Source organism: Homo sapiens, chromosome 15, assembly GCF_000001405.40.
Source record: "Homo sapiens chromosome 15, GRCh38.p14 Primary Assembly".
Lineage (NCBI taxonomy): Eukaryota > Metazoa > Chordata > Mammalia > Primates > Hominidae > Homo > Homo sapiens.
In genome coordinates, this window is record NC_000015.10 from 96041873 (window position 1) to 96056688 (window position 14816).

At 41.3% G+C, this 14816-nt stretch overlaps 2 long non-coding RNA genes across 3 annotated transcripts in view; one reads left to right on the forward strand and one right to left on the reverse strand.

Annotated features, from left to right (window-relative positions):
* LOC112268156 (uncharacterized) overlaps nucleotides 1-14816 on the forward strand; it is a 236909-nt gene that overhangs the window by 51438 nt on the left and 170655 nt on the right. The window lies entirely within an intron of this gene.
* LOC105370998 (uncharacterized) lies at nucleotides 751-11504 on the reverse strand. 2 transcript variants are annotated; one of them, XR_001751688.2, is made up of 4 exons: nucleotides 10382-11504; nucleotides 6662-7823; nucleotides 4917-5023; nucleotides 751-2198 (listed from the first exon to the last, which is right to left on the reverse strand). It is a non-coding gene; the product is annotated as an uncharacterized LOC105370998 (long non-coding RNA). The 2 variants fall into 2 exon arrangements; XR_001751687.2 differs by having other exon boundaries at nucleotides 751-2771.

Genomic DNA, 14816 nt, shown 5'->3' on the forward strand with positions numbered 1-14816 from the left:
CAGATGGAAGAAGAGATAATGCAGAAATTTCAGCTACATAAGTCAAGAGACAGCCAGGCACTAGCAGGTAGAACCAGGCAGCTCAGGAGCTCACTGCATGGACACTGGCACCTGGCAGGATTGTGCTGTTGGTTTCAGGACCAAGGGCAACTTCTCAAAGGGACCAAGCTGGGCTAGAAAAATGGGCACATTCTAAATGTAATTTACAATCTATGTTTTTGAAACTGAAAAACACTTTCTCAAAAAGAAAACTTTAACACAGATCGTACAAATGACCAATGAGCACATAAAGAGATGCTTAATACCATTAACCATTAGGGAAATGCAAATCAAAACCACAGTGAGATACTTCACACACACTTAGATAACTACCAAAATAATGGACAATAGCAAGTGTTGGAAGGGATGTGGAGAAATTGGAACCCTAGGAAACTGCTAGCAGGAACGTGAAATGGTCCAGCCACCATGGAAAGCAATTTGATGGCTCCTCAATGAGCCCAGTAGAGAATTTCCATATGACCTAGGAACTCCACTCCTGGGTATATTCCCCAAGGAACTGGAAACTGGTGTTCAAATAAAAACATTCACAAAAATGCTCATGTTAGCACTATTCACAGTAGCAAAATAATGAAAACAACTCAGATGTTCATCAACTCATGAAGGAATTTTTTAACATGTGACATATTCATGGAATGGAATACTATTCAACCATAAAAAGGAATGAAATTTTGATACATGCTACAAGGTGAATGAACTTCGATTGAAAACATTTATTGTAAGTAGAAGCAGTGAGACATAGAAGGTTATGTATATGGCATAATTCCATTTATATGAAACATAAAAAGTAGAGTTGGCAAATCCACACAGACAGAAAGCAGATTAGTGGTTGCCACGGGCTGGTGGAAGAGGGAAAATGAAGAGTAACTGCTTAATGGGTTTGGGGTTTCCTTTTGGGGTGGTGAAAATGTTCTCGTGGTGATGGTTGCATCACAACATGGTAAATGCAGTTAGTGTCACGGATGGTAAATTTTATGTTATATGTATTTTACCACAATTTAAAAAACAGAAAAAGAAAACCTTTATGAAAGCTCTATATGGAAAACTGATAAAAGCAGGGTAGCGCTGGTGAAATCTGGCATCGACAGGAACCCTGGAGCCATTCTTCTTCCAGCTTCCCTGGACACACTGTCGTTAGAACAGAGAAAGCCAAGTTTACTTATCTAACCCATAACACGCAGCTCTGAAGAAAAGCAGAACTGAAATTTCTCTGTTGTCACACGGAAGTGCCAGCTACACTTTGAGCCAAATGCTAAGGGAAAGTTTTCAAAAGTTCAAATTTATAGAAGCCACACTAGGAATTTTAATTTGCATGGAAAAACGAGAAACAAGCCTCTTAAAAACAAACAAACAAAGCCTATGGGAATGTTTCCAGTTATTTTTTAAGTCTTTAGTGATAGAAAACATTAGCCAAACTTTCCCCTGTTGACTCTCATGGAAAAAAAAAAATGTCAAAAAAAGGGTCTTACTTTGTAGCATACATGGCCATTTTTCATCAGTTTTGCAAAGCCAGGTTCTACCTTTTCATTTAACTTTGGGGATGTGTCTCTTAACCAAAATCTAACTTTTCAAGGTGCTTCATTCATTGCTTTAAAAGTTCCTTCAGGTGGTGGTGTCATCTTTTTGTCCACTTATTTGTTGGGAAGTCATCTACTGGTGTCCTAAGCCAGGATTCAGCATTACTCTCAGCCTTGCAAATGAATTAACGGGTGACCATCTCGCTATCTCTACACTAGAAACAGACTTGAACATACTCACCTCTTTCAGTCCTAATCTCTTCTTTCCTTCCTCCCAATTCACAGTTGCCTGCAACTGGTTCCGAGTGCCCATGTGTGGGCATCTCCACCGAGGGAGGGAGGCATGGGGTGAGGTCCTTTCTTCCTCTTTAAGGAGTGGATTTTCTCAAGAGCAACGTGGGAAGTTCTACATTAATGTTGAAGCTGAGCTTTCTTGCCACTGTGTGTGTGGCACAGGAAACAGGCTCTCCACATGATGGTAAGAAGCCTTAAACCCAGATTACGGCACCTTTCTCTCTGGAGTGCTCTTTTTGGGTAGAGGGTAAAAGGTCATCCTCTCAGACTGGATAGTTGTTCTCAGCCAATTACATGATCTCCGTGCTTCTACAAAAGGGATCTTTGAAACTGCATCAAAAGATTTTATGCAACTGATTTACAAAAAGCACAATTAAGTAGATGGAAGCATTATTCAAGACCATCTGGTGGAAGAGGTAGCATATTTAAAATTCTAGTATAATTATTAGCGGCAAAAAAGATTGTTTTAAATGACGAGCTATCCATTATCTGTCATACTCTGGTAGACTACATAGCTCCATTTATTCCATCAAGGTCCCAAAATAAAAAGATGTAAACATGGTACCATTGGAATGCTAGAACTCAAGAAATCTACATGTAGAGACGAAGCTCAGGAGAGAAGCTATGGATGGCCTTGAACTCCCAATTACAAATCTTTATTTTCTGTGTTTCACTGGAAGCATTAAAACTGCTTCAATGGAAAAGAAATCAGATTTATATTCTTTTTTCTTTTTCTTTTCTCTGGGCATCATTGAAACCAAGGACGGTGCCTTGCTGGGATTTTTCTTATCCTTGAAGGGCAATTGTCAAGCATAAGTCTCCAGCGTCAGAAGGTGTTGAGTCAGTGTGTTTCTGTGTCAAGGACTGCAGACCCAGTTGCACTTCCAAAATGCCCTCCTTCAGCTTTAACATAGTCAGAGGTGATTTAGGTCAACACTTGTGCCATGATCAGTAAGTTTATCCGCAACTAATACTTGGTTACCCCGAGGTTGTTTAGAGTATTACATACAGTTTTTAACAAATCCCTGCTCTTTTTTCTACATGGAAATAATAATCTTGTTGAGAGAGAAACCTTTTTGACAAACAGAATTGGAAAATTGGAAATAAACGTTCATTTTTGGAAATATATTCACTCTATCACCTTTGTTATCTCATCACATATGAAAACAATCACTTTCTTCTAAAACATGCCCTAGCAACTTTTAAGAAATTCTGAATAATATTAAAGCAATGCATTCCTGTTCTCTAGATTTAGGTCTGGAAGTTAGCAAGTTTATTTTATTTTATTTTAGACGAAGGCTTGCTCTGTCGCCCAGGCTGGAGTGCAATGGCACAATCTCTGCTCACTGCAACCTCCGCCTCCCAGGTTCAGGCAATTCTCCTGTCTCAACCTCCCGAGTAGCTGGGATTAGAGGCATGCGCCACCACGCCCAGCTAATTATTATTATTATTGTATTTTTAGTAGAGGCAGTTTTCACCATGTCTCCAATGGCCAGGCTGGTCTTGAACTCCTTACCTCAAGTGATCTGCCCACCTTGGCCTCCCAAGTTAGCAAGTTTAGACTATTATGCTATAGAATTGGGGTCCAAATAATCATTCATTTGGTTTACACATGTTGATTGAGAATTTATTTTAAGGTCTCGGTCACCCCAGTGAAGCAGAGCAATGGGGAACTGGCCTAGAAGAAGCCATGAAGTAGAATCATAAAGTACAAACAGCAGAAGACTCCAATAACAGAAGAGGGTAAAAATAAAGGGACTTAAGTTCTTCACATATTTTCAATTTAAACATCCAAAAGAGGTCAAATTATACCTATGGGTTTGAAAAACAATATTTTAATGGGAAATTTCCAGGGTAGAGTCCTATGCATCTAATGTCACCCCAAACACAGAAAGGCAGATAATTGGAGCTGGGAGGGTAGGAACAGAAATGGTCTCATACTTCCTTGTAAGCTCAGCTCTTAAACAAATTAAAGTACACTAAAGTATCACTTCAGAAAACAGAGATGTAGTATGTCTATTAATCATTTTTTTAATGAAGTGGCCTGAGGACCTACACTTATTCCTTCCAAAGAAGCCACAAAAAGGCAAAATCCTTGATCCTGTTTTGATCATGGAATGTTTGCTCTGAAAACTTTTACAAATAGCTTGCTCACTTTACTCCTCACCTAAATCTTCGAGAAAACAGATATTTGAGAAAAAAAAAATCTCAGTGATTTTCATATAGTATGAGCCAATCTTTCACCACATGCAAACACAAAGAACAACAATAACTGTGTTCACGCGTTCCAAGTCTTTGCTGATTCAGTGCCCAGCTCGTGCTAGGTGTGGGTCTGGGCTCAAGAGTTAAGCCTTGGTGGCTGGGCGCAGTGGCTCACACCTGTAATCCCAGCACTTTGGGAGGCCGAGGCGAGTGGATCACGAGGTCAGGAGATCAAGACCATCCTGGCTAACATGGTGAAACCCCGTCTTTACTAAAAAAAAATACAAAAAATTAGCTGGGTGTGGTGGTGGGCGCCTGTAGTCCCAGCTACTCGGGAGGCCGAGGCAGGAGAATGGCGTGAACCCGGGAGGCGGAGCTTGCAGTGAGCCGAGATTGCGCCACTGCACTCTGGCCTGGGCAACAGAGCAAGACTCCATCTCAAAAACAAACAAACAAACAAACAAACAAAAAACAGTTAAGCCCTGGACAGAAACCTGCGTGGAATGTGGCAGGCCCAGGGAATATCCAGGGAAGAACATTTTGGACAAAGGGGACACTACAAGCAATGACTCTGCTCATTCATCCAAGCAGGAGGGTGAAAAGCGAGTTTGAGTAACAGAAAGGTGGTAGGGCCACAGCAGAGTGAGCGAGGTAGGAGGGTGAGGAAAGGCTCCCAGAAAGTGAAAGGAAACTGAGTCAGAGCCAAACATGAAAAACATTATGATGCTAATGGAAAGATTTGTTTGTAAAAATTCCTTTTTCTAAGTGAGATGAGAAGCTTGAGCAAGGTGAGAAATAGGAGTGGTTTTAGTAACAGAGTAACAGGATTCCAGAACAAATACTTACGAAGGATTGCAGGGTTCTAAGCGTGAGACGGTGGTGGTGGATTGGACCAGAATCACAAGGAAATACCTCCAAAAGGCCTGCAGTTTCTTCCTGCTCCACTAAATGGTCTTGAAGTGAATAAAAAGAATTGCATAGGGCTAATGAGAAAACGTGGTAAGTATTTTGGAATTCAGTGCCATCTGCACAAAATCCCAGCCAAAGGGGTTCCCCACTGCCCCACCCCAGTTCAGTGACCCCACACATAACTGAGAAAGTGGGCAAACAGCTTGGCTCCAATTTCCTTATGTAGGAAGATTAATATTACATGAGTCAATGAATCTTCACTTCTCAAATTTGCCACAAATGAAAGAACTTCCTCTGCCCCCTCAAAACATCTGGATGCTGCCTGCTGGGGCCTCAAATCCAAGTGAAAACATCTGGGTGTCAGTGAAAAGGTAGAAACGGGTGGCATCTAAATAGGATTTTGAAAAGTTACTCAAATAACAGCGTTTTGTTGTTGTTGTTTTTAAGTTCAGCCCTGTGCTGTGTAAATCTACAGTGTACTTAGACGGGCTTGTGTATTTTTTCACTCATCAGCACTGCCCACATTATGGGAAAGAGATAAGGCTTGAGGAGAAAGAAATGTAGCTATGTACGTAAGCATGCCTTTCTCAGTTCATCCGACTGTTAACTACTGTTCAGTAGTTAACATGTTCATGTTCATGCAGCCCTTTTTGTTCTTTCTGCTTCGGGTAGTCAGGTTCCCCTCTGTGACTCTGGAAATCTGGAATCCGTGGGCAATTCTGGCCCTAGCCACTTGGAACTCCCACTCTGCATGCTTTTTGTATGACTGCCTTTCACTCAGGAGGTTCGAAAAATAGAAGCAGTATGCATGCGGGAGAAATGTGTGCGTTAGTCATTTTATTCAGTGCATGCTATGTTGTCATCGCTGTCAAACGTAATAAAAGTGCAGCTAAAACACTTAACCACATATTGATCTGCTCCCACGTCTCCTGTAGTGAGCTTAAAGTAACAGAGCCCCCTCCTTATTCCCCCTGCGCTTTAATGCACAGGGTAGTGAGCTTCCTGTAACTGTTTATTTTGGAAACAGTTGAGGAAGCATCGACCTCAAACTTTCCCATTGTTCAGCTATTGCCATATAAATCCCTTGCATGAACTGAAATTTCTTATAAGAAATGTTAAGATGAACTTGGGTGGCTTGGTTCAAGGCTGGTTTGTTATTAGTAGGATTCTTCTTATTATTATTAGCATTATGAGTTTTGGTCATAAGTATTTTTTTTCTCTTTTAGACCATAAACTTTCAGCTCTTATTACTAGTAACTGGAATGAGAGCCACCATACACTGAATGCTCACTACATTATAAAAACACTATGCTGAGGATTTTCCATACATGCTTGTTTAAATTTGTGTCACATACCACCTCTACGGAAATATTATCTGTATTTTACAAAGAAGGAAGCTGAGGCTCAGTTGAGAAAGAAAGAGAGGGAAAGTGACCGGCTCACAATCACTCTGAGAAAACATAAATCCATGACTGATTAATTCTGAAGCTCATATTCTTAACCACTTTACTAGGTTGCAGGTTCATGTCTAGAATTGGGAAGACATCTTCCTGCTGGATTGATGCGTATGCTTGAAAGCAAAGCTAATCTTCACTGTGACCCACAGTCACAATCTGGAAATCGGGACTCAAATTCCCAGCCTCCCTTGCATCTTCCCAACGTGCCACCTGCAGGATACATACCGTGAGAGCTGGATTCAGACACCTGGTGGAGTTTCCATTTTGTTGGTAGGGGTAGCCACATTAGCCACCAGCTTTGGGTTGCAAAGTTGAGTTCTCCAGGCAGGCTTGGCTTCCATCAGTGCAGAGAACAGCAGTGACTGTAGAAAAATTCTCAGTCCTCTGTTCAATAAAGCAGCAATGACAACTGTCTCTTCATGTCAGTGTCACGGTTTGGGGGCATGTTTTGGGATATGTTTCTGGAAGCTTAGCCTTAAATCTGTTTCTCTAGTTCCCCAGTGATGCTATAAGCTATTTAATTTTCTTTATTAAACCTCTTTTCCCTTTAACCTAGCTGAAGTGGAGTCTGTTGTTTGCAACTTAGACAACACAGACAGGGAACACAAATAGAGGAAATGTATATATTTCTTTACTCGCAACTGTTTCTCTAGTGAGCTGTAATTTTATGCCATCACTAGCACCCTACAGGAACTATCTCACTCCCCGTGGGAATGGATGAGGCTATTCTGTGTGAAAAATATTCACCTTTTCCTGCTCTGACATGGGAGTAGGAAAGCAGAATCTTAGGGCAGTGAAGAGCTCCTCTACTTGGGCGAAAAGGAAGCTTTCTCAAAGAAGCCCATCCACAATGGATACAGACGTGTTCTGTTATTGGCAGGCTTGAAAACATCATTCTTTACAATCATGCCCAACTCCCTGGGAGTGAAAAAGCTGAATTGTACACAGGGGTTTCCCGCTTTCTTCGAGTTGTGTTTACTTCTCTCTACTGATTCCACACATTTCCAGATAAATTTAGGCTCCATTTCATCTCAATAAAGCAAAATCTGTTCAACTATGTCAACAAGTAGAAAAGCTTTCTACTCAAATGTTATTTTTGTCCAGGAACACAGGATGAGGACCAGAACAGAAGAGGTGAGGTATGTGGCAATCTTGACCCAAATAGAAATCTGAGATAACCCAACCCCAGCTTATGCAAAAGGGTACAGGCAGATAGCACAGTATTTCAGGCTCAATGGGGAGCAGCCAGCAGTCAGAGGTGTGGGCTGATAGGTGGGTTAACAGGTGAGCATGCCAGAAGAAGGGCTCGAGTCCAATATAGGTCAGCAGGCAGCAGGGCGTGATCCAGGAGCCCTGACAGGCAGGTGTTGGGCCTTTTCCTCTCCTTCTGGAAGAAGTTGAATTGAACACAGTTAAACAATACTTCAATTTAAGATAGTGACGCAAATTCATTCAAGCAAGAGAAAGTTAGATGCCTTACAAATTCACACCTCTTTTTGGTCCTAAGGGAACCACGTACCCTTATACATTTGCTCTTACTACCCCAGACTTGACAAACTCTTGTAAAAGTTTTGTAGAGTGATCTTCTGCTTTTCCTAGTCTGTGTTCTTAAAAAACAAGACTGGATACTTGACAAACTGGAATTTCTAGACTCCCTTAGGGTAATTCCAAACCATGGTAGGTATGCTAAATTCCAGCATCCCCACCATATATTTTTTGTTTGTTTGTTTGTTTGTTTTCCTGTTAACACCCAACAAGCAGAAATCCAGCCCTAGAGGCAGCAACATAAAATACAATGGAAGTCTCAGAGTGGAATACAGAAGATAAGGTAACATAATTGTCTGTTTTTGTCAAAAAAAAGTAAATATGCAGGTATATAAATATACCTGTATTGTATGTTATTTTTTACAGAAGTGAAACAACAGACCAACAAAATTTCTAAATACTTCAAATTTCCATTCCTATCCTATCTCCTCCAAACGCACTCATGCTATGTATGTTCACATTTCTGATGAAACAACAAAAATGAATGCTTTCTGATCCAATAACTCTACTTCTAAGGATTCCACTGAAGCAGGGGAAAACCTTTTAGGCAGCCAAAATATATATGCAAGATTATTTATAATAGCAGCAACTGAAAATAACCTATAGGTCCAGGAATAGGGGAATTATTAATCTGGGTTATGGAAAACTATAATAAATACTTATAATAAAATTATGTAAAGACGATAAATGAAAAATTTAAAGAATATTTGAGAGTGAAAAAATGTTTATCAAGTTAAGAGTAGCATTCAAATCTGCATGACAGTTATCCTAATCATGTGTGTATTTATACACTTTTTTCCTTAACAAAATTTATGTGTATTAATAAAAAAGGCTGGAAGGAATAATGTCAAAAATATTTGCAGTAATGAAATTTTCGATAATTTTTTATTCCCTTCTTCATAGTTTTCCCAATCTTCTTTAGTATTATATAATATATAATTATATTAACATATAATATCATACTATGTTACTATATATTATATTACCTTCCAAAGGTAAAAGAAACCTATTTGCTCTAAGGAAATCCTACTGCAGGGTTAGATGAGCTAGAAATTACCGCTTGCATTCCTGACAACCTCAGTTCTCAATAATTAATCCCTGTTGCAATTTCTGCAAACCCCCCTTGGGTAAAGATGTTCATTTTTTTGTGGAGCTGTCTTGTTTGCTGTGTGTTTTCCACGACAGCCTCTGTGCCTTCTACTTCCAAACAAAAACCCTGGGAATTGGGTCGTACAATAGAAAAGAATATTTGAAATAATTACCACCCTAGAAAATCGGATACCTCTAAGAATTTAGTTTCAATGAAGTTATTTAAGAAGATAAAAAGAAAGTCGCTGCTGCAGCTGCTGAGCTTTGTGGCAGTCTTGTTATCTATAACATGAGGAAATAATATCTATCTCTTCTCAGGGTTAGGGGGAAAAAGATAGTAAGATCATTGTATGTAAAGTCCATAACAATGTCTGGCAATAGATAATTTTTAAAAGTTAAAAGTTTATCTTCTATTGGGATAGTTAGTACCTAGAAGGCAGGGTGTTTGAAGGGAGGAAAGTAATGCCTGTGTATGGTAATACCAAGACAATGAACACGGAACCACAGAGGGGCAGCAGCCTGCTTGGATGTGAATTTCCTCCTTGTGATGCCTTGACCAGGTTACCTAATTTCTCCATACCTCAGTTTCCCCATTTGTAAAGTAGAGCTGATAACATTTCTTGCGTCAGAAGGTTGTTATGAGGATTATGCCAGGCATTTAGGACAACACCTAGCAAACAGGAATCACTGTATAAGCCAAGTTGAATGTCTGTTGTGACTTGTTCCACAATAACACAAATGGAATTGCCTAGGGTACAGCACTATTTGCTCTGCGAAGTCAGCTTGGACACCCGGAGTTAGATGCCTCCTGCACTGAACTTTCTGTACCCACAGTGGTTCTTTATGTACACACTAATTTCCTTGGACCTTAATTAATCTAGATCCTGATTGTGTCTTATCTTTGTGTCCTCAAAACCTGGCACCCTGATGTCCACACTAAATATTGAATGTCTTTAGAAACAGGCCACAACACTCATTGTGCATAGACAATGCATCTTATTCATGTTAGGTTGTTTTTGGTTTCTTCCCCCCACCACACACACAAAATGTACTCATTAGAGAGATTTTGGGAAAGAAGGTCACATTTTACCTCAAATATTGAAAGGTATTAATAAATCCACATTCCATATCTTATTTTTAATAAAATTATTAGGATTCTAGCAAGTAAAATTATATCACTTACTGGAATGACTTTGCCTATTTAAAGAGACATTTCTATTATCCCAATTTGAGCTACTAAGAAACTATTTAAGCAGAAGCTATTGACCCAGCTATTTCTATGCTGCTAAGAGTAAAACTCTCTATACTTACAGCTCACAGCTTACTTTCTGGGTAGCAGGACTCCACAGGGAAACAATAAGGGCATCAACATCATGGAACTTACAAGCCTGGAGTCTTGGCTTCTGGGTCAGGTGACCTTGGGGAAGTCACTTCACTTTCCCAGGTATGATTTCCTTATTTGCCGAGCTAAAATAAGGCTGACAAACCGGTCTACAATTCATAAAGCTGTAGTAGCACAGCAAAGACCCCTGAAAAATTCTGCCCTATTCGGAAATGGACAGTTAGCAGGGAACTGGCAAGCTGATGCCTGTAATTAAACGAGTAACTGAAGTTTATTTCTCTCGAAGTTTCTAGATGCTTCCAAGACGGTGCTGTCTGCCTAAATTTTTCTAAACAACTCGAAGCCATCCTTAAAGTGTTTGAGGAATGGACATTCTCAGGCAAAGTCGTTTCCAAGCCCCTTCGGCTCAGCACTGCACCGCAGATCACTGCTTTCTCAAATCAAAGGGGGCCCCCCTGCAGAGTTGGTTTACACCATTAAATTTCCTCCAATGTAAAGCCAGGAGAATTTTTCCAGGTGTTCGAATTCCTAGAGGTTGGGGAAAGTGCCGAGCTCTATATTAGAGCAATACCACGCTAGAGTGAAACACAAAGAACCTTTTTTATGGTGTTGCCCCCTCTGGAGATCTCTATTTAGGGGCTGCCTTGGCAGGGCCCACCAGACCGTCTGTCACTCTCCGCTGACACCGGCTGCCGGAGGAGGGCGGTCCCCGAGGCTCTCGTGCTGGCGGCAGCCCCGCGCTGGCCCCGGGCAAGCCTTGATCCGCCCTGCGCCACGTGGAAGGTGCCTGGACACGGGCTCAGCCGCAGGGGCCCCTAGTACCTCCATCGGGTCTCGTCCCCCACGGCGGGGTCAGAGGGCAAGTCACCGGCCAACCTCCTCCAGGAGCTCTGTTTAAGTGAGAAGCAAAAGAGATTCCAAGGAGAGCCACAGGTTGAAATCGGAGCGAAAGCCTGGGCTTCCCCGAGCCAGGTGAAGAAAGCTGGCAAGGTCACCCACTCAGTCACCAGGTGGTGCATTTAATTTAAAAGGAGTGTTAACCTTGTTTATACAAAATAACACCAATATGCAGAGAAGCAGTAAATCCATTGTCGTTAAACAGCGGGGAGCCGCTGGCGCTGGCAGCCTGCCCACCGGCGACGGTGAACCGGGCTGGCACCGAGCAGGGAGCCGGGCCTGCCAGCCTGTCCGCCTCGCGAGAGGAGGCCCGGGCTCGCCCTCTCTGCCCTCCAGATGACTCTTTGCATTCTTGTCAAATATATTTAGAACAAGAGGTGTCCACTTAAAGAGAAACGTTTGTTAATCACTTAAATGCAGGCGCTTGGCAGCCCTCCAGTTTCACCTTTATAAATATGTAGGATCGGTTTCCAGCTAAGCAGGGAACTCCACAGCGAGTTCCCTTTCTCTCCGCGTCCCCTCGAATTGACCTAAGGTGGATGTCCCTAGCACCTTATTAATTTTCTATCCCAGTGGGCTTTCTGGAGTTAAGGCCAGTCTTCTATCTGGAAGTTGACGGAGATAAATAAATGATGCACCGTGGAGGGAGGGAGAGAGAGAGAATGAGAGGAGTGTTTCTTTAAGTAAGGGACAGATTAAAGTGAAATTCCTGTTGACGGAGGCGCTGGTGTCGACATCCTCCTTGTTTACCAGCAGCTGTCCCTGTTAATGACACTCTGATAACTTTCGGAGGCTGCCCTGCGGTAGTAGGGGAGAAGAAGATAAAGAGGCCTCTGTTTAAATACTCCGGGCCTCGACCCCACTCTTTTTAACTTCCCTTCCTTTAAGAATGGGTGAAACTGTTCAGAAGGGGCAAATCCTGGGTGCAGAGATTTTTGCCCCGGAAATTTTGAGTTCACAGCATAAAAACTCTGCAGAGCTGATGCCTATTCCAGGAGTGGAAACTCAGGGTTGGCGGTGGGGGGCAGAAAAGGCAGCTGGTCTGCAAGGTGAGGAGGTCTGCAGGAGGCCGGAGGAGAACTCTTCCTTTTGTTTTAAAAACCCTGACACTTCCCTGCCCTCCCCCGGCCCCACCCCAAACAAGTCTTACAGAGGTAACTAAGTATGTTAGGGACAAGGTTACAGAATGAAGGTTCTTTGAGGGCCAATGTATCCTTAGCGTTAACCACATGAAAATCACTTTGAACACTTGGAACACTCTCCCTCATGAAATTCTCAGGTTTTGGGGGACCTTGCCGGGCACCCAGGCTAAAACTTTGAATGTGCAGCTGAGAAAGCAGTTCCAGTAGGTGAAGGGACCTGCCTAAAATCACTTAGTAAGTTTTGTGGCAGGATGAGGACTGGAACCCAGTTCCCTGTCCAACGTTCTTTTCAGACAGACAAATAGATATGAAATACTTTATATTTCATATAATACATATAAATATAAATTTATATATTTTTTAAATTTCCACCTCCCATCCTGAGATAGCAGGCAGACGGCGGCAGCTATCTAGTCTTTCACACTGAAAAAAAGCCAAAGCTCTCACTTGGCTCAAGTCCCAGACTGGTAGATGCTTGGGCTTCCCTCAAGACCCACCTCCGCCCCGATTATTTCATGAATACAATTCACTTAAAGATCAACAAACGTGGAATCCCATAATCTTATTCATGCTCTAACCAGTCAGGCAGACATGCCTCCAATAAAGCAAGCACAGAGGACAAATGTTTTCCTGCCTATGGAAAATGAAGATGGTGTGGAACAAATGATCTTGCGTTTTTTTGCACCTCTGTATTTTGTCACCTAAAGCGTGTCCTTTATTCATCTCAAGAGATTTGGGGAGGGAAAAAATAAATTAAATGGCAAAGTATTTTGAGTTCACATGCTCAGAAGAAAGATGTTGACATTTTTGATCCATGTAATTTTCTCTGGAAAGTTCTTTATAATGTTTTTAAAGATCGACGACAATGATGTACTTTCCAGTGGCTTACGGTAACACAAGTTCATCATTTATATTCCACATGGTAGTGACTCCACAACTTTCTCTTTATATATAGTAAGGTATGGTAGAATTATTCTCTCTACAAAATTTTAATTCAGCTTATAATCTGTTTATGGCAATTTGTTAACTACCAATTGTTATGGGTTGAACTGTGTTCCCCCAAAATTCACATGTTGAATTTCTAACCCCCCAGTTATGAGAGTTTATTTGGAGATAGGCTCTTGGCAGAGGTAATCAATTTAAAATAAGTTCACCAACGTGGACCCTAATCCAATATGATTGCTGTTTTCTTAAAAAGGGGAAATTTAGAAACAGAGATATGCATGCATTGATGATATAAAGAGATGTAGGGAGAAAGCCACCATCTTCAAGTCAAGGACAGAGGTCTGGAGAGGATCCCTTCCTCACAGCCATCAGAAGGAACCAGCCCTGTCGACACCTTAAATGTTGACTTATATCCTCCAGAACTGCAAAACAATAAATTTCTGTTGTTGAAGCCATCCAGGCTGTGGTACTTGCTTATGTGAGAACCCTAGCATACCAACCAATTTTAGCCACTCAGTAACTTTAATATCCCCTCAGATCAATATTTCAAAAACATATGAAACCAAATTAAATGGCTTAAAATTATGTTTAAAGTGTCCTATGTAATGGGGAGGCAAAAGGAACTAATACGTATTGTGCATCTATCATATCCTGGGCAGAATTTGGAGAACTTGATATATTTTTGTTGATTTCACACGTATAAACCACTCTTTCAACAATAAAATTTTATCTAATTCAATAGAAACACATCTTGTGCAGAAGAACATTTACAGTAAACATGAGTAATTTAAATGAGTACCAATTAAGGGGATTGTACCTTGCTTAGTATATTTCATCAAATTATACATCATAAGAGGTAGAATCTTCTCTACATCATGAGCAATGGTACTTGTTGAATTCTTCTCCATCATTTCACCCACATTTTTTGATGTATCATATAATTGATGGTTGAAAAGTTTATAGTAGGTTTTGTCAAGGACCCAGTTGTGAACAGAGATTATAAATAAGCACAGTCAATCAAGAAGATTTATCAAGTAGGCGCTCTGTATACGGCACTAGAAGGAGAAGGGGAGGTTGCAGAAGCCACACCGCCTGGTTTGGGCTACGTAAGAGTCTAATTGGTGAGAACAGCTATAAGCAAGTCAAGAAGGCAAATTAATAATATGCTTTGGGGCAATATCTCAGCAATGCAAAAGAAAAGGAACTCAAGACACGGGCCATAAATCCCTGTGTGCCAGTAATAGTCCCAGTTTACACTTGCTGTCTCCGATTAATTGTTAAGAGTGGTTTTTTTTCATTCCCCAAAATGTCTGAGGTTGCTTGAAAAAGTCTGGGGTCACTCTAGCTGGGGACTTCTCGACCGCCACACTACTAAAGTTGGAAGATGGATGATTCTTTGTTGGGGGGCTGTCCTATGCAC